This window comes from Homo sapiens, chromosome Y, assembly GCF_000001405.40.
Source record: "Homo sapiens chromosome Y, GRCh38.p14 Primary Assembly".
Taxonomy (NCBI): Eukaryota; Metazoa; Chordata; class Mammalia; order Primates; family Hominidae; genus Homo; species Homo sapiens.
Genome location: NC_000024.10, coordinates 2,691,086 through 2,711,503, shown reverse-complemented (window position 1 = coordinate 2,711,503; position 20,418 = coordinate 2,691,086). Strand labels below are relative to the sequence as shown.

Below are 20,418 nucleotides of genomic sequence, written 5' to 3'. Positions count from 1 at the left end.
GGGAGTGTCTCTTTGACATACTGATTTCCTTTCCTTATCCCAAATAAACATATATATATATACACACATACACATACTATATATATATATAATACACACACATACTATATATACACATACTATATACATACATACTGTATATACACATACTATGTATACACACACTACATATATACACACCATATACATACATACTATATATACTATATATACATACTATATATACGAATTATATATTTATACAAATATATATATACACATATATATATTATATATATATAGACTTGCCCTGACTTGCTGGGAATACCCTGAAGGTTTAGAAGTCATCTCTGGGGCCGGGTGCGGTGGCTCACACCTGTAATCTCAGCACTTTGGGAGGCCAAGGTGAGAGGATCACGAGGTCAGGAGTTCGAGACCAGCCCAACCAACATGGTGAAACCCCGTCTCTACTATAAATACAAAAAAATTGGCCAGGCGTGGTGATATGCGCATGTAATCCCAGCTACTCAGGAGGCTGAGGCAGGAAAATCGCTTGAATCCGGGAAGTAGAGGTTGCAGTGAGCAGAGATCATGCCACTGCACTCCAGCCTGGGTGACAGAGGGAGACTCCATCTCAAAAAAAAAAAAAAAAAAAAAGTCATCTCTACATATCTTCATATGTAGATACATTAGTAGAGGGACTGCTAGATCAATTCGTAACTGTTTCAATTTCCTCAAAACTCTCTTCCCCGGAAATGACAGTGCTTCCTTGAAGGCTTACCTTTGTTAGTGCCTCAGCGGTAGACGTGACTTCTAAACCCTATGGGCATTCCCAGCAAGTCAGGGCAAGTCCCCACCCCCTCCACCCCAACAAAGAGATTCCAAGAGTCCATAATGTATTCTTTAGCAAGAAAGACATTCTCTTTAGAAAGGTAGGAAGACTTAATAATAAGCAGACAGAACTGTCAGAATGTTAAAGAAAAAAAAGCAGCAGCAATGACAAAAAAAAACCCCACACGTGAAAGTAAAGTACAGATATTATTTTAAGTGTAACCCTTCTTATTTCTGTAATTTCACCCTCATAAACAGAAGATGATCATAGACACCGTCACTAAAGAAACAAAACAAAGCAACATAGGACAATCCCCTTAAAGTGACTCATCCTTCCCAAGCTTCAGGAAATACTCAGAAACGGCAGTCAAGGGCGTACGAGACTCGGAAGGTTTCTAAGACCAGAGTCTTGTCTTCTCCCACTCCTCGCTCACAGCAGAACCCAGGAAACTCCAGTGTCAGGAGGTGGCCTCCATTCCCCAGGACACCCCACGGCCGGAACACAGTGGTAAAACTAGAACTCTCCTCCCAGGTTCCACCCCACACCCTGCACTCCCATGCCCAGCTGCCTGACACAGAACACGCAATCCTAGCATGAGGACTGCTATATATTTCCACAGAAAGGGCATGTCAGCTGCAAAATCGCAGGGCACAGGGAAAACACAGTATGATCTCGATGCTTCCCTCACATGGGAAATGTCACATGTGGTACACATTTTTTTTTTCAAAGACCCTCCTGGCTTGCTGGGTTTTTGCATCTGTCCCTGGGCCTCAGGGGGGCCATTTGCCCACCCAGGTGTCCCCAAGCTTCCCCCAACCACCTTCGGGTTTAGGTCCATGCTTCTTGCTGGGCACCTCTGCATTCAACAGCTCTTCATGTGCTCTTTGCAACCAAGCCACATTTTGGATTTTTTCCAATGCAGGGCCTGGGTATACGTGTGCATGTCTATGTACATGCATGTGCGTGTCTATGTACATGCATGTGTGTGTCTATGTTCATGCATGTGCGCGTGTGGATGTGCTCATGTGTACATGTGTATTTCATATACGCGTGCTCATGCATTCATGTGGTTTCTGTGTGTGCACGTGTGTGCTCCTGCACGTATGTGTGGGTGTATGGTGTGGGCACACATGTGCATGCATATATGTATTGCACTGCATGTGTGTGCACACGTGTTTTCATGTGCATTGTGAGTGTGCTGAATGCACACCTGTTTGCATGTGTATATGTGCACAAGTGCACTGCATGAATATATATGTGCATTTGTTCATGTGTCTGCGTGTTTGCCTGTGTGCTTGTGTGCATATGTGTGAGGGTGCTATCTGAGCACACACCTGTGTGCATGCATATATGGGTGTGCATGTGCACTGCAGGAGTATGTGCATGTGCTTGTGTGTTTTCATGTGTGCTCACGTGCACATGTGACTTGCTGTGTGGGTGCACACGTGTGCATGCATGCATATATGCATGGCATGAGTGTGCATGCATGTATGTGCCTGTGTATGTGTGCATGCACATGTGTGTCTGTCTGGTGTGTGTCCATGGCCTGCCACCTCCCCAGCCTAGCTTGCCCCTCCCATCCTCCTCCATCACCCTCAGAGTCCACCAGCCTTTTCCTCCACATGACTTCCCTGGTCATAGCCACTGAGCTGGGACCAGGTGTCACTTAGAAGCTTCCTCCTTTTCTTGCTCCACCTGCCCTCAGAGGCCACAGTGACGATGCTCTGGCTCACTTCATGTTCCTTCCACTGACCCCAATGCCCCCATGGACCCCACACAAACCCAGTTACAGGGGAGGGCACAGGCCCTCCCGCCACCAGTGTCACCCCCAGGCAAGCCTGGATTGCCAACTTCCCCTCTGCTTCAGGACTACGGCTGACGTCACCACTGAGTGTCCAAACCCACTGCTCCCCGGACCCCAAGCTCAGCCGACGGAGGTCCAAGACAACAAGTCTGAGAGTGGGTGGCAAAGGACACAGTATGCCCCTCACGCCCTTCTCCCCTTCTCCCACCCTCTGCCCTTAGCCCTAGTCCTTGGAGAACTCGCCTCAGCCCCGCACTTGGAGCTTGTCTTCCATTCTTATCTCTGTGCTGTTTCTACAGTTTTTAATTGAAACAATTTCAATGTCACTCCAGGATGCCTGAAGGACAAGGACACCAGAGGAGAGACAACCCCAAGCATTCTATCATCGACCTTGGGCCCTCGACCTCAGCTTCCATCGCTCAAGGCTCTGTCAGTCTGTCCCCTGCCTCCAAGGTCTCCTTTCTCCCAGATACAGAGTCCCACCCTCACCATTTTCTCCTCGGGTGACTAACACTTAAGACAGCTCCCCAAACACCACCCCACAGAGAGTAGGGAGGAAAGGGAGGTGACCCGCTCTCGATTTCATATAGACGTGGGCACCCTGAATCACCCATAATCAGACGTTCACTCCCTGGTGGAATCTGGTACTGCAGACACCTCTGAGGCTAATCTTCCAGGTGTGTGAGGGACACAGTTCCCTATGTATGTGAAGGGATGCAGTTCCCCAGGTGTGTGTGAGGGAGGCAGTCCCCCAGGTGTGTGTGAGGAAGGCAGTCCCCCAGGTGTATATAAATGGATGCAAATGCACGTGCTATTGGCTTGAAGCCTCATGGGGAAGCAAACCCAATCAATGATCATCAGTCAGTAAAGGAATCTCTGTAAATGAAGCTATCGTCTCCTAACTCAGTCCACTGCTCTCTTTATTGCCTAGGATTCATCTCCCAATTCATCACATTCCCTGAGCTTTCAGGTGGTAGGCAGGAAATTGCGGGCTCACAGCAGACACCCCCACTTGCCTTTTTGCTCCTGAAAACGACCTCCGGGGCTACAAATGTGAAGAAAACACCAACAAAACCCACCCAGCAAGAGCTGCAACCATGCCCTCAGAGAAGGAGCCTGGTGGAGAACTCAGGTGCCTGTGTTGCACGTTTACGGCATTCAGCCTCTCTGCAAATTTGCAAAGAGACCAGACCCTCAGCAGAACCCCCAACTGCCACTGCTGTTTCCACCCGGCCCTCTCAAAGCTCCAGATGTTTCCGGGACAGGGTAATGGCTCATCAGGGCAAGGCGGAACGGACGACAGATGGCATGAGTCAGTCTGACAAGACACTTTCTACTGATTCAAACCATGTTTACTTTTTCTCATCAGCCAGGCAACTCAAAAAACAGGACGAACCCAGAGTGAAGTCCCCGAGGCCACATGGGGTGTGTGAGTTCCTCTGCAACGTGACTAAGGCTTGCACTAATGCAGGAATGCACTCAACCGGGGCAAACGCAGGAGGAGAGCCAGTACCTGGGTTCTCTTTTTGCTGTTTTTTTCTTTTCTTTTCTTTTCTTTTGAGGCAGAGTTTTGCTCTGTTGCCCAGGCTAGAGTACAGTAGCATGATCTCAACTCACTGCAACCTCCACCTCCTGGGTTCAAGTGATTCTCCTTCCTCAGCTTCCCCAGTAGCTGGGACTATGGGCATGTGCCACCACATCCAGCTAATTCTTGTGTTTTTAGTAGAGATGGAGTTTCGCCATGTTGGCCAGGCTGGTCTCAAACTCCGGGCATCAAGTGATCTGCCTGCCTTGGCCTCCCAAAGTGCAGGGATTACAGATGTGAGCCGCCGCGCCCGAACACTTGGGTTATCTTAAACCCCATCATCACATCATTCAGGTGTTTCACATAAAATTAAAAATGAGCCAGGCGTGGTGGTGCACGCCCGTAGTCCCAGTTACTTGGGAGGCTGAGGCAGGAGAATCGCTTGAACCCGGGAGGTGGAGGTTGCAGTGAGCCGAGATCGCACCACTGCACTCCAGCCTGGGCGACAGAGTGAGACTCTGTCTCGAAATAAATTAATTAATTAATTAAAAAAAATTAGGCAGTTCCAAGATTCCTGTAACTTTCAGATTTTCATAAGAATAACACAATCATTACATAGTAACAGCAGCAGCCAGGGACATCATTTAAGCAGTGCTCTGTGTGTGCCTGCAGCTTTCTCAATAATGCCGTTCATCTCCATTAAGGGTGGGAGGATGAAGACCCGCCACTGGCCTGGGTGTCCCTGCTGAAAAATGTCCAATTCACTCAGCCCCAGCATCACCCCAGGGTGTTCACACCTGCTGCTGGCCACTCCAGTACTCATCTGCTCCTGCTGGTTTTCCACACCCTTTTCCAAAGCCCACTAAACACGAAACTTTCAGGACATTGTAGAAAAGGAGGAGGAGGTGGTGCAGAGGGCACGTGTGTGCTCTTTACTTGCTGCTGAGTCCTCTGATGCCAAGCAAAGGCAAAGCGTTTTTTGTTTTTTGTTTTTTCCTTTTTTTGAGACAGAGTGTCTCTGTGTCACCCAGGCTGGAGTGCGGTGGCCCGATTTTGGCTCACTGCAAGCTATGCCTCCCGGGTTCACACCATTCTGCTGCCTCAGCCTCCCGAGTAGCTGGGACTACAGGTGCCCACCACCACGCCCGGCTGATTTTTTTGTATTTTTAGTAGAGACTGGGTTTCACCGTGGTAGCCAGGATGGTCTCGATCTCCTGAACTCGTGATCCGCCCGCCTCGGCCTCCCAAAGTGCTGGGATGACAGGCGTGAGCCACCGCGCCCGGCTCTTTTTTTTTTTTTCTTTTTAACGTTTTGGAGGTCGAGTGGAACCAGTCACATGGTCTGACCCTAAAAACTTTCATTCCAGGTTTGGGGGGCCTCGGGAAGGGTCCCCAGCCTAGAGATAATTGTAGCTCAGAATGCTGCAAGAGAAAATGCCTCCACATTGGAGCAAGCACCGGAAGTCCTCCTGTGTGGGAATAGCAGGAGGCAGCTGATACATTTCATTTTACTATTTTATTCAAATGGTCAAAACACCCTTACTTTTCTGTTGCTATAAAACCGAATCGCTCTGGAAGTATTGTCCTCTTTTTCAAGATGTGTCATTTAACACCGGGCAGACGATCGGTCACAGGGCACAAAGCGTCCATGAGACAGGACAAATAACTTCAGGAAAGCTCAGAGACACCATGGCGACTGCAATTAGTAACAATGGCTTGAATATTTGAAAACGACTAAAGGAGCCCATTCTGAATAAGTGTTCTCACCACACACAAAAAAGTGCTGCAAAGTCTGTGAGGTCATGCATATTTAAATCCATCTCACCATGGATACATACATCAAGACACCATGTGCAACCGCATAAACACATACAATGTGTATTTGTCAATTAAAAGAAATAAACACATCATTTAAAAAAATCTGGCGCTGAGATCTTACCAAACATATTGTAAAATTACAGAAAAGAGCTTAATAGTGTCATAAATAGTTTCAGGAATACACCAGAGTGTCATAGTCTCAGAAATACTCCAGTGCTGGGTCCAGCTTCCCGTCAGTAACAGGATGTGTGCCAGTGACTGCATATCTGAGTACAGAAAACACAATGTGCCAGATCACAGACAAGTGCAAGGAACTCCGAGTTCACCAAACATCCTACACTTTAGATTTAACCGCTGAGTCCAGCGCAATCTGTTCACCCCATGGAAAGCTATGAACGCAGTGGGTGATAGTGGCCGCCGGGCCCTGGAAACACTCTCTGCTAGCAAACTATGGAAAGGGAAGGGCTTCATGTCTGTAGCAATAGTTAAACTCGTCTCTCTGTCTTCTTAGCTTGAAAATTATACATAGGTGGCCGGGTACAGTGGCTCACGCCTATAATCCCAACACTTTGGGAGGCCAAGGTGGGAGGATTGCTTGAGCCCAGGAGTTCAACAGCAGCCTGGGCAACATGATGAAACCCCGTCTCTACAAAAAATGCAAAAATTAGACAGGTGTTGTGACGCACTCCCATGGTCCCAGCTACTTGGGAGGCTGAGGCGGGAGGATGGCCTGCGCTTGTGGAGGTTGAGATTGCAGGGAGCTGACACTGCACCACGGCACTCCAGCCTGGGCAACAGAGAGAGACCCTGCCTCCAAAAAATAGGCAGGGCATGGTGGCTCACTCCTGTAATCCCAACACTTTGGGAGGTTGAGGCAGGCAGATCACTGAGGTCAGGGGTTCGAGACCAGCCTGGCCAACAAGGCAAAACCCCATCTCTGCTAAATTAGCTGGGCATGGTGGCGTGTACCTGTAGTTCCAGCTACTTGGGAGGCTGAGGCACAAGAATCTCTTGAACTTGGCAGATGGAGGTTGCAGTGAGCCGAGACTGTGCCACTGCACACTAGCCTGGGTGATAGAATGAGACTTTGTCTCAAAAAAAAAGAAAGAAAAGAAAAAAGAAAAAGATTATATGCAGGTGGTTAAACTGCATATACTTCCTTGTCTGCGGTGGCCTAAGGTACAAGGTAACATCTCGGCTTCATCCTAACTAGGACGACGGCACAAGGGTATAGACGTGAAAGAACAAGCTCTTTCCTGTAATTTTACAATATGTTTGGTAAGAAGTGGGAAACTTTCTTTTGTTCGTGTGCCATAACTCTGGGAACGTCCCCTGAGCTACGCCAAGTTTTACAAGAGGCCAAAGAATGGTGTGAATGTTTGGGCTGGGCTGAGCACGCCTCACACCGGCAGTTCTCAGAATCGCCCTGCGAGGGACCTGGGGAGACGTGGAATCCTGGGTCTCACCCCCAGACATTTTCGTTCTGTGGTCTGGGGTGAGGCTCATGAGCCTGCATTTTTAACAAACTCCAGGGTGATGCTGAAGGACCCCGCCTTCAGGAGTTCTGAGGCTCAGACAACAGCAAGGCAGGGCTGCTCGGGGTTCCCTGCTCTCCGTCCCTGTCACCCCTTCCACAGGCAGATGCCAGCCCAGATCCCATCCCTACAGGAAACTGAGTGATCACCCCCCAAGGCTAACGTGGAAACACCGGAAACTGACTTAGGGGCCTCAGCACTTTTTCCAACTTCATCCCAGCCACTCCCCGACTGCTGATCTCCTTTCAAAGTGGTCTCTGCCCTGCAGTTTTGGACTAGCTTGAAATAACCCCTCCGCCGGTCCCAACTATTAGCAGTTCACAGAGCCCTGTGTGTCTCTGTAAAATGATGTGAGGCCAACACACACACACACACACACACACACACACACACACACACACACACTTAACAGCTCGGTTTGTTAATTACAGCTTTGTTATTCAAAGCAGTTACGTTTTATAAAGTCTCAGCGAACACTGAATTAGCGAATAGTGAACTATTGCTCCCACGTAAATACAGGACTACGTTCCCAGAGGTCATGAACCAATCACTACCTAAGCGCGTTTTATGTGGGTTTCTGTTTAAAGACACCGCAGTGAATAGACATTGTGGAGTCACTCACATTGATCTCGAAGCCAACAGCACTATAACTCGTGCCTAAATGACGCTCATCAAATGTGTATTTTCCCCGTGAGACCATGCCAGCTTTCCTGTACTTAGGGACGCTAGGTAGCATGTCAGCACCGACTTGGGGATATTTGAAAGCGCAAAATCACTGACAAAAAGCACGAAAACACAAAACACGGGACACCAAATAGACCTTGCAAAGAACCCTGTTGACAGTACGCGCTGGCCCGAGAAGGCAGGGTCTGGCTTTGTTGAACCTCAGCTGAGAACATGTGCTATTGAGAAGCTCAATTCTGGCCAGGTGTGGTGGCTCACGCCTGTAATCCCAGCATTTTGGGAAGCCCAGGCGGGTGAATCACTTGAGGCCAGGAGTTTGAGAGCAGCCTGGCCAACACGGTGAAACCCCGTCTCTACTAAAAATACAAAAATTAGCCAGGCGTGGTGGCTGTAATCCCATGCCTGTAATCCCAGCTACTCGGGAGGCTGAGGCAGGAGAATCACTTGAACACAGGAGGCGGAGGTTACAGTGAGCCAAGATCACGCCACTGCACTCCAGCCTTGGCGAAAGAGGGAGACTCCATCCAAAAAAAATAAAAAAAAAAAGTTCAATTTTTTTGCCGTTCTGTGCATGAACAAAATAGCCGAGGGTAAGGAGAAGAACATAAAGGGTAACTATTGGGTCCTGGGTTTAATACCACAGTGATGAAATAATCTGTACAACAAAACCTCATGACACATGTTTACCTAAGTCACAAACTTTCACATGTATCCCCGAACCTAAAATGAAAGTTTAAAATAAAAAAATTAAATGCCAGGAATATTGATGTGGGGATGACAAATACATTTTAGTAAGCAGGCAAGTCACAAATACAGAATCACTGAATGATGAAGATTGCGTGTACCTAGGTTAAAACAAGTTAATAACAGTATTTCTCATGGTGTCCAAAATATATCATTGTCTTTCTCAGAAAATTTAAAATCTCTTCCCCTCTGCAGCATCTTGTGAATTTGGTTGTTACACCATGGGACTGATACAGGGGCATCCTGGGGGTGGGGTAGGGGTAGGGGGTCACAGAATTTGGGCCCCTCGTCTGCCTCATTGGATCCTCTACCTGGCCATGAAAGCCCATTCCTTCTTTCTGAACCTGGAAAATGTCTATTCACCCCTCAAGGCCCTGGGAGAATGTCACCTTCTCCAGGAAGCCCTCCGTGATCCTCTCCCTAGCCCACCTGAAGCGCTTTCTCACAAGTATTACCAGAGGTGATCTGTAAGCACATTACAGTTTAAGGAGCACAGCTCCGCACCCCAGTTCTCAACTCCAGCAGCAAATTACACACATCTGTGGGGTTTTCCTAAGTCCTGATGCCCAGGCTAATTAAATCAGAAACTTTCCAAGGTGAGATGCAGGCATCTATATTTTAAAGCCTACCCATGTGATGCAAACGTGTGGTCAACTCTGCAGGCAGGGACCTGTTACAGATTTTAACTTCCTCAATATCTCCTAAAATAGCTTGTGCCTTCTCTTCTATCTCCACTGACTTATCCACGCTCTGCCAAAAATAGCCCCAGCCCCTCCCACCTGTTCTGCATGCTGTTACCCAAAGACGGGCCTTAGGCAGGTTAAGCGTCCCCGCACAGCTGTCTGCGTCAAACCCTTCAGGGGAGCTTAAATCTGCACTCCTCAGCAGTGGCAACAGAGGTTGCCCACCATCTGGCCCCTGCAGCTCCTCTAGTCTGAGATGAACTGCAGCTGCCCCATCATCACTCTTACTGCTTGTCTACCAGGCTGAGAAGAGGCCCTTCCTCTTCCTTACACCTGGTTTCCTCTGCTCATTCTTGGAAGCTCAGTGTCCAGGGAGGGCCCCTCCTGGGAGAACTCTCTCTGACCCCCTGAACAAGTGTAGTCCCTGCTCTGTGCCTCCAGACATCCAGGCCTTCCATCCACAATGGTGCTTTTATGCCCAAATTGATGCCCTGGTTGTTACCTCCAAAGCAGAGAACAAAAAACAGGGACCACAGCAAATAGCACCAATAGTACATTTAACTTCAACCTATGCTGGCTGAAGGAATACATGAAAGAGCCATGGACTGGGAGGGTGGATGGACAGGCAGGTAAGTGGATGGATGGGTGGGTGGGTAAATGGGTGGGTGGATGGATGGATGGATGGATGCATGCGTGGGTGAGTGGATAAATTAGTGAGTGGGTGGATGGTTGGGTGGACAGCTGGGTGGATGGATGGGTAGTTGGATGGGATGAGTGGAAAGATGGGCAGTAAGGGGATGGATGGAGGTAAGGGTGGATAGGTGGATGGATGGTTGAGTGGATAGATGAGTTTAGGTGGGTGAGTAGGTAGGTGGATGGATGGATGAATGCATGGATAAGTGGATGGATGGGTAGTTAAGTGGATGAGTGGGTGGGTAGACGGATGGAGGTATGGATGGATGGTTGGGTGGATGGATGGTTGGGTGGGTGGATGGATGGGTGGGTGGGTGAGTAGGTGGATGGATGGATAGATGAATGGATGGATGGATGAACAGATAGGTGGATGGATGGACAGATGGATAGATGAATGGGTGAACGGATAAATGGATGGATGGTAGATGGGTAAATTGATGAAAGGATGGGTGAATGGATGGATAGATGAGTGGATGGTGGACAGATGGATGTATCAATTGATGAGTGGCTGGATGAACTAAAAGGATGGATGCATGGATGATGCATGGATGGAAAGATGAATGGAGAATGGATGGATGGATGGACAGGTGCATTAACGGATGGATAAAGGAATGGGACGACGGATGGATGGATGGATGGATGGATAAATGGATGGATGGATGCACGCATGGATGGATGGATGCATGGATGAATGGATGGATGGGTAAATGAATGGGAGGATGGGTTGATGGATGGATGGATGGACGAACGGATGGATGGGTAAATGAATGGGAGGATGGGTTGATGGATGGATGGATAAAAGGAGGATGCATGGCTGGATGGATGCATGGATGCATAAATGGATGGATAAATGGATGGAAGGACACATGGATACCTAGAACACGGAGACCCTGAGGAGCTGGAGAGGCCTCAGTGACTGGTCTAAGTTCACCACCAGGATTCAAGGGAGTTCTCTTCCATATCAAAATGCCCATCACTGATTCAGGACATTCTCCTCCCCTTCAAGTCACACTAGTGGTGAAGGCAGGCATCCCTCAAGGTCCACAAGGCCGTGCCTGGGGAGCTCTGTTCAGCCCACACACGCAGCCACCAACTCCCAAGCCCAGCAACCCCTGTGCCCACGTCTCACCACCAACAGAACTCATGTCCACATGCATTTTTCCCCATGCTGACCATGTGATCACCAGCAAGCTCCTGAACTCTCTGACCCCAGTGTCTTTATCTACAAAAGGCCCATGAGAAATATCTTAAGGGCTCGCTGAAGATGAAATAACAAACTGAATGCTCTTTGAAAAATGTAATCCATGGCATAGACATTCACATCCGAGAGGCGGTCATGGGAAATCTCATGTAGGAGGGAAGAAACAGAATATCTAGTAAAATAACAATGATTCTTGACAACTCAGCCACACATGAAGACCCTCCGAGGGGCTTTTTAAAAATTCCTAATAGCGGGATGCAGTGGCTCCCGCCTATAAACCCAAGACTTTGCCAGGCCAAGGCAGGTGGATGGCTTGAACTCAGGAGTTCAGGACTAAACTGGGCAACATAGGGAGACCCTGTCTCTACAAAAAATGAAAAATTTGGCTGGGCGTGCCAGCTCACGCCTGAGGGAGGCTGAGGCAGAAGAATCACTTGAACCTGGGTGGCAGAGGTTGCAGCGAGCCAAGATTGCATCGCTGCACTCCAGCCTGGTGACAGAGTGAGACTCTGTAATTTAAAAAAAAAAAAAAAAAAAAGGCTGGGCGCGGTGGCTCACACCTGTAATCCCAGCACTTTGGGAAGCCGAGGTGGGCAGATCACGACGTCAGGAGTTCGAGACCATCCTGGCCAACATAGTGAAATCCCGTCTCTACTAAAAATACAAAAATTAGCCAGGCGTGGTGGTGCGTGCCTGTAGTTCCAGCTACTCAGGAGGCTGAGGCAAGAGAGGCACTTGAACCAGGGAGGCGGAAGTTGCAGTGAGCCAAGATTGCACCAAGGCACTCCAGCCTGGGCAACACAGCAAGACTCTGTCTAAAAAAAAGAAGAAGAAGAAAGAAAAGAGAGAAGAGAAAACAAAAGAAAAGAAAAGAAGAGGAAAGAAAAGAAAAAAACAAAAAGAAAGAAAAGATTAGCTGGGTATGGTGAGGTGCACCTGTGGTCCCAGCTTCTTTCGAGGCTGAGGTAGGTGGGCTGCTTGAACCCAGGAGGTTGAGGCTGCAGTGAGCTATGACTGTACCACTGCACTCCAGCCTGGGTGACAGAGCAAAATCTTGTCTCAAAAAAAAAAAAAAATTAAAACACCTAACACGTCTATAAACCAGACTACCCAGGTAACCCTGGGCAAGAGTGACGTTTCCAAGCTTCCCGCAATGGGGCCAAAGCTGAGAACCTCGGATCTAGGTCAGCAAGAGCTACTGGAGGGTGGTCAAGCAGGTTTGTGTCTGAAACCATCACTCAGAAATCAGGAATGCAGGAGGGATGGGCATCACAGTTACTGGTGTGTTTTTAGCCTGGACTCTGTAGGATTAAAATATGTCCACCAGCCTGGGCGACAGAACAAAACTCTGTATCTACAAAAAAGGTAAAAATTAATTGAGTGTGGTGGCATGTGCCCATAGTCCCAACTACACAGAAGGCTAAGGTGGGCAGGTCACCTGAGCCTGGGGGTTCGAGGCTGCAGTGAGCTGAGATCACACCACTGCACTTCAGCCTGGGCGACAGAGTGAGATCCTGTCTCAAAAAAAATGATTGCAGGCTGAGCATGGTGGCTCACGCCTGTAACCCCAGCACTTTGGGAAGCTGAGGCGAGAGGTTTGCTTGAGCCCAGGAGTTCAAGACCAGCCTGGGCAATGTAGTCAGACTCCGATTCTACAAAAAGATTTTAAAAATTAGCTGAGGGTGGCACATGCCTGTGGTCCCAGCTCCTTGGAAGGCTGAGGTGAGAGATTCACCTGCACCCAGGAGGTCAAGACTGCAGTGAGCTACAATCGTGCCACTGCACTCCGGCCTGGGCAAGTCTAAAAAAAAAAAAAAAAAGAAACAAAGAAAAAAAAAGATTGCAAGCCACTGCCCGGTGATATGTTTATGATATGATGAGTGTCTAGGGGCTTGTGGTTTAAGAGTAGAAACCGCTTCCCATAGGTGGCTGTAGCTGTCCATCTTGTCTGTCTATCGGATGCTATGTTAGTCCCAAAGGACCACAGCCTCTTGAGTAAAGACCTCAACACAGGGGGCCTCTACCTTCATTGCCACCTCGGCACGGTCTCAAAAGACAGATGTTCATATCCATCTCCTGCTTGCCCAGATCCAAATCCCTCCCTGTCCTGCTATTCTATGAGTCTGCACTAAATGCCTAACACTTCTCTCCGAGTGTTCAATTGCTGAGAACATTTTGTGCTGAATTCATCGAAGACAGCCCTGTGTTAATTCATATTTAGAACCCAACCCATTTCCCCCAGAAGAAGACAGCTAGCAACAGCAGCAGAAGAGGCCGACTGGCAATATTTGGGTTCTGGCAGTAGTTATAAAATCTCTATGCCTCCAAGTCCATTGGCCCTAAAAGACAATGCAGTGTGTTTATTCTTGTCATCATTCCAGTCCATCGTGTTCCAGTCCATCGTGCAGAAACGAAAGCTCCTTCTGGTCAGCATCCCCTCGTGGATCAATGCTTGCCAGGGTGCATTTGGACAATAATTTTGCAGGGTCAGGCAAAGCAGAAACAAACAAGAGTCAGGCTACCTGGGCAAACTCAGGTGTCGCTGATGAGTAATGCCTGCAGAACCCTCTGGCCAGTCTGCTGCCTCCTCAAGAAGGGCTGTTAGCTCAACCAGATACACTATTATCAGCTTTTAAACAGCGCTTTGGAGCAACAGCTTTACTCCCCGAAAAGATGCAGAAAATCAGACTCTTTCAGGTGATTCTCAAAAACAGGGGACCCACCCCAGCCCACGACACCATTCAAAGTTGAGAAAGCAAAGTGAATTAAAGGGGTTTGCAACCGCTTTCAGACTCATCCAGCTGCCGTCCACAATGACAAACATATATTATATCTCAGCCCAGCCCACCGGGACAGAGGGAGCGGAACAAAAGCTTTGCCCATGCGGCTTCTTTAGCAAGGCTTTCCATGTACCCTGTGGGCATTTTCTCCTCTCCTCTGTTGAATTTTCTTCTTTGCAAGGTGGGTGGCTGCAAGCTACTTTCACAGCCCACTTGAGAAACACTGGTTTGAATCTGACTCTGGGGGAGAAGAAAGGAAGTTTCTGGTTTCCTGCTAAGCGGAAACTTTAATACTATGACTAGGAGACCGTACAAGGCATGGTGGCAACCCTGAGTCATACTAAAACAAAGCCGAAAAACACACCCATGCACCATCTCCTCAAAACTCACCAAGGAACCAAGCCAAGAAAGAATACTGAACAGGAAATTCAAGAAGAGGAAGTCCTTCTGGTCTCTAGAGATGTGAAAAGATACCGTCAGTTGGACAAATGGGAGTAGAAATGCTGGTGAGCTACCATGTTTCAGCCAAGAGACTGGGAATAAATCAAAAAAGAATACACTTTAGGAGGCCGAGGCGGGCGGATCACCTGAGGTCAGGAGTTCGAAACCAGCCTGGCCAAGATGGTGAAACTCCACCTCTACTAAAAAAATACAAAAATTAGCCAGGTGTGGTGGCGGGCACCTGTAATCCCAGGTACTCAGGAGGCTGAGACAGGAGAATTGCTTGAACCTGGGAGGCAGAGGTTGCAGTGAGCCGAGATCGCACCATCGCACTCCAGCCTGGGGAAAAAGAGCGAGACTTCATCTCAAAATAAAAAGAAAAGAAAAGAAAGAATATCAGCAAATCCTCAAGCCCTGGACAGCCTGCAGCCTGCAGCTACACCAGCAACGATGAGCCCACATTCACAAGCAATCCGAACCCCACCTCCCCAACTGGGAGAACAGAGGTGAAGCACGGAAGACAGCAGAAAATCCACATGGGCCTGGGACATGGAACACAGGACTCAGAATGAACAAGCTTCAATAACCAGCCTTTCTCTGCCATTTTGTTGCTGCCCCTGAAGACTCAAAGTCCTTTGTCTTTCTCTGCCAATTCTCTAAAAATGGACTGTTCTTTGTTGAGGGTACTAGAGCAGCTAGAATCCAAGCCACTTCCTTGAAAACTACCCATTTCTAGGTATCTCTCATGTATCAATGAAAAACGCATGTTAATAAAGTTTGGTTTGTTTTTCCCTGTCTTTGGTTAGAGGAGTCACTTCCAAATAAGAATGTAGGACAGTTGATTTTTACAATGATTTTTCAGGTGGCTCACACCTGTAATCCCAGCACTTTGGGAGGCCAAGGTGGGCAGATCACTTGAGGCCAGGAGTTTGAGGCCAGCCTGTCCAACAGGGTGAAACACCGTCTCTACTAAAAATACAAAAAATAGCCAGGTGTGGTGACATGTGCCTGTATTCCCAGCTATTCAGGTGTCTGAGGCAGGAGAATTGCCTGAGCCCGGGAGACACAGGTCGCAGTGAGCCAAGATCCTGCCATTGCACTCCAGCCTGGGTGACACAGTGAGACACTGTCTCAAAAAAAAAAAAAAGACTTTTTTTTCAGTCTGGGCAACATAGCAAGACCCTGTCTCTACAAAAAAATTTAAAAGTGGCCAGGCACAGTGGTGTGTGCTTGTAGTCCCAGCTACTACAGAGGCTGAGGTGGAAGGATTGCTTGAGCCCAGGAGGTGGAGGCTGTAGTGAGCCCTGATTGCACCCCTGCACTCCAGTCTGGGCAACAGAGACCCCACCTCAAAAAAATATTTTTCAGCCTGGTCAACATAGTGAAACCCCTTCTCTACTAAACATACAAAAATTAGCCAGATATGCAGTGCATGCCTGTAGTCCCAGCTAATTGGGAGGCTGAGGCAGGAGAACTGCTTGAACCTGAGATGGAGAGATTGCCATGAGCTGAGATCGTGCCACTTCACTCCAGCCTGGACAACAGAGGAAAATTCCATCTCAAAAAAAAAAGACTTTTCCTCCTTCGCACCCCGAGAGACACACAGGTCTTATTTCTTACTGTGTCTATAAATCACAAAGGACACGTAATTCTTTTCCCCTAAAGTAACAAGAGTGCTCAGAACATTTTCAGCAGGACTGAAAACCAGCACAAGGTCCACGTGGCTACTGAGAAGTCTATTTCCCCGGGGGAAGATATCTGAGTCCGAAAACATTCCAGACAGTATCCATGAAATCCCGCCATGATTCCTAAATGCTGAATTGGGAAAAGTATTGTATGAGCTGCATTTCTTTCTAAATGACAGCATGTACCCACCATAGGACCTTCAGGAAGAAAAATGATTTCCAGACAAACAATCATTTACTTGAGTATCTCCAAAGTGTAAAGACATGTATTTGTCTTTACATGAAAACTCTGTCTCATACACAGAGAAAGGAGAAAGAGCTAAAGCAGGAAGTTTTTTTTTTTCTTTGAGACTGAGTCTCTCTCTGTTACCCAGGCCATAATGCGGTGACACGATCTCAGCTCACTGCAACCTCTGCTTCCCGGGCTGAAGTGATTTTCCTGCCTCAGCCTCCTGAGTAGCTGGGATTATAGGCGCTCACCACCACGCCCGGCTAATTTTTGTATTTTTAGTAGAGTCGGGGTTTTGCCATGTTGGCCAGGCTGGTCTCGAACTCTTGGCCTCATGTGACCCACCGGCCCTCGGCCTCTCAAAGTGCTGGGATTTACAGGCCTGAGTCACCGTGCTCGGCCTAAAGTAGGGAGTTAAATGCAAAGCAATCAACTTTTACCAGAGCCAAACGCGCTGATGGAAAATCAAGGCAAACTCGCTGGATGATAAAACCCACTTCCTCTGCCCAGAAACATTCTCCTAATAACTTCCACACACACCCACAGGGGCAGGAGACAAGAGCTCTGGAGAGAGTTAAAAAAAAAAAAAAACAACGAAGCCCACACTTGCTCTACTGGGGCGAGGGAATCCTGAAGAGGCCTGGTATTGTTCAAGAGATGTCGGTTCCGTAGATGTTTGGAGTTTTTCAAACCGCACAGGCCGCTGTGCCGTTGCCCCGGGGGGTGGGGCAAATCAGCCTTTGCCAGAGAGCAGGGATGCATCGGATGTGTGCGACTCTACTGTCGGGACGGCAGGCTCCTAACTGCAGGGGCAGCCCTGAATCAGCGCATACATGCAACTCCCAAGCCCTCCTCAGGGTTTTCCACCCTCAACACCACTGGCATTTGGGACCAGATGAATTCTTTGTGCTGGAGGCCGTCCTGGCCCTTGAAAGATTCTGAGCAGCTTCCCTAAGCTGCCCCACCCATTGCAGGATGGTGGGATGTCCCACCCCAGGGTGGCAACCAAAAATGTCTGCAACCATCACAAAGTGTCTCCTCGGGGCCAACGTCGCCCTGTGGGGACATCCTGCTCTCTACAAAGCTGAAGCCTCCTCTTTTCCTCTATACACCTCCCTCTGTCCATCCATCCCTCACCACATCCCACCTGTACCCCTGAGAATTTATGAAGGAACCAAGGAACACAGGGTCCCCAACACTCTGAGATCAGGCCAGAGCTATCAGCACCAGTCTGAGAACCTACTTCAGGCTCAACGGGGTTTTGCAGCCTGATGCACGTTGCTATAAGAAAGTGTGTTCTGAGCATCACCAACTCAAAAGTCAACTTTCCCGATGAAACGTGTATTAATATTATTGGGACAGGCTGTTTCTGTCTCCATCTCTAGCAGGGTCAGACTGCAAAGAAGGGGTGAGAAGCGTCCCTCAAGGAGATCCATCAGTGCTGACGGCCAGGCCCTCCTCTGCAATTGGAAGGATAGGTTGGCCCCTGTTATGCCCCTATCCCACTGCTCTTCCCTACCCACCCACCCCATAGACAGGTACTCTTCCCTTTACTCAAAGCATCAGCAGCTGGAGTTCCTAAGCCCAGTCTGCTTCCAAAATCAGGAGTTCCAGATGAACACTGCTGTGGGTTTAAAAACTGTGCAACGCCAATGAGCCGACATCGTGCCACTACACTCCAGACTGGTGACAGAGTGAAACTCCGTCCAAAAAAAAAAAACCACCACCACCAACAAAAACAAAAAAACTGTGCAACGACTTGTTTGGGGCTTAGAGAATATAAGGCTTTCCACTCACTCTGCTCCAATGACCTGGAACGCCAGACCAGCCGGCAAATCTGTCCCTAGGGCTTCAAAATCCAGCCAAGCCCCTCACCAAGATTTACCACTGGGAACCCCTGAGTTATTTCGTGATGGAACTATAAAGGTCCCTGTGGCCCTGTCTCCCGTCTGCCTGTTCAGATGCCTCTGTTCTCCAGGAAACTGAATTCTTAGGCCACCAGCACTCCCTTGGATATATTTCCCTGACCCCAAGCCCACAGTAGGTGCAAAAGAAGGAAGGCAGGCATGAAGGATGAAGGAATGCATTCGCAGAGAGACAAGTGAAAAACCCGTTCATCTGCAGGTGCCTGGGGAACAAATGCAGCTGATAAAACCCTACAGAGCCATCCCGTCCGTGGTGACAGGTTGCCCGCAAGAAGGACATTTAGGAAGAAAAGGGAGAAACAGGAAGCTCTGCTTGGAACCTCCCCTGCAGGCTGGAAAGTCCTCCAAGTTTTCCTCTACGGAGCAGGCTTCATTATCTCTAATCTCTACCAAGTGAAAGCACAATTTCTAGGATACCCGGGACCCCTTTAAAGAGGGTGTAAATCCATTAGCAACTCCTCCCTAAAAATAGAGACCCGGCCTAGTCACCGCAGCTCTAGGCTGAGCTAGATCCTATCAACACAAATCGGGCCTCCTCCGTCCTCCCCAGGGCCGGGCGTTCCCGCGTCTCCTTCCTAAATACGTCCAGCCCTGATAAGGCCCGTCCTGAAGTCCACACTGCCCGCAAGCCGGTCTACTTAAAAGCCTGCCCATACGAAGAGCAAAAAATGCACTGACCATTGAAAAAAGAATTTATAACATGAAAAAAGAATTTATAACATACCACATCCGGCAGGGTCTCCGTTTCCGTTTCAAAGGGAGGGAAACAGAAAAACATGATTAAAGTAATAATTAGAAATAGGCCCGGTTTAGGGCGTGGGAGGGTGACCGTGGCTCTTTCTTCCCTGCCCACTTTTTCTGTTTTCCGAATTCTCCACCGCCGCAGATGGACAATTTGGTAAGCACACGTTTCTTTCTGCGCCCCGTGTTGCTTGGCGCACAGCACGCGCTGAAATTCCCGGAGCCCGCATCCACAGAGTATTTTTGAACATTTTCAGGGCTCAAAGTTTTTTTCTAACTTTTCCTTCCCTTCCCCCCACCACCCGGGTCTCAGGCTCCTAGCGATTCCAAATTTAGGCCCGGGACGCAGGGCGTGGCTGTGACAGGCAACTCCAGGGCGGCCTCCGCGCGCGGCCTGAAGACGCAGGTCCCCAAACCCTGGGGGTAGATAACGGGGTGGGGTGAGGGGCTCATGCAAAGGGAGAGAGATCTGTAAGAAGGTCCCCTAGATTGGGAAAAATCGGACGCACCTCTCCCAAGGCCGCCCCACATGTAAGAGTTTGCAACTCCGACAACAAACGCTGACTTTTCTCTCTGGAACGGCTCCAGGAAAAGCGTTGGGGAGAAAGTGGGCGCCTCCTCCGGGCCTGGGCCCCCGTGGGCACAGCGCGTCCTGCCGGGCAGGGAGGAGGCTCCGGGTGTCCCCGCGGGGCGCCCCCAACGCCGCATCTCAAGCGGATCCCCAGTCCCGGCCCGCGCCCTCCGCGTCCCCCAACCCGGATCCCTCCGCTCGCTCACCCGGGGCGGCGACCAGAACACCCAGCAGGCCGAAGAGCAGCAGCGCCAGCGCAGCCCCGCGGGCCATGGTGCGCCCAGAGCGCGCAGGGACGGTCCCGGAGTGCAGGGCGTGGGCGAAGGCGGCAGGACAGATACTCCCCCACGGGCCGGGTGGGGCGAAGCCCGGGGACTCGAAGGGGGCGGGTGAGGGGAGCGGCCCTGCAAGCTCAGCGCCGGCTGCGCCCGCCCCGCCCCGGCCTCCACGCGCGCACAGAAGGGGCGGGAACGCCGGGCCCGGGGAGGAGACAGAGGGGGTAGGCGGGCGGGGGTGGCCCAGGCAGCGCCGAGGGGAGTACGGTACAC

At 49.5% G+C, this 20,418-nt stretch overlaps 1 protein-coding gene across 7 annotated transcripts in view; it reads right to left on the bottom strand.

Annotated features, from left to right (window-relative positions):
* Positions 1 to 20,209, bottom strand: part of CD99 (CD99 molecule (Xg blood group)) — a 50,015-nt gene extending 29,806 nt beyond the window's left edge. For all 7 annotated transcript variants that reach the window (NR_135623.2, NM_002414.5, NM_001321368.2 and 4 more), the window contains exon 1: positions 20,077 to 20,209. Coding sequence is in view for 6 of the 7 variants with exons in the window: in NM_002414.5 (NP_002405.1) it covers positions 20,077 to 20,143 (67 nt within the window). In the remaining variant the exon portion in view is untranslated. The remainder of the gene's footprint in view (positions 1 to 20,076) is intronic.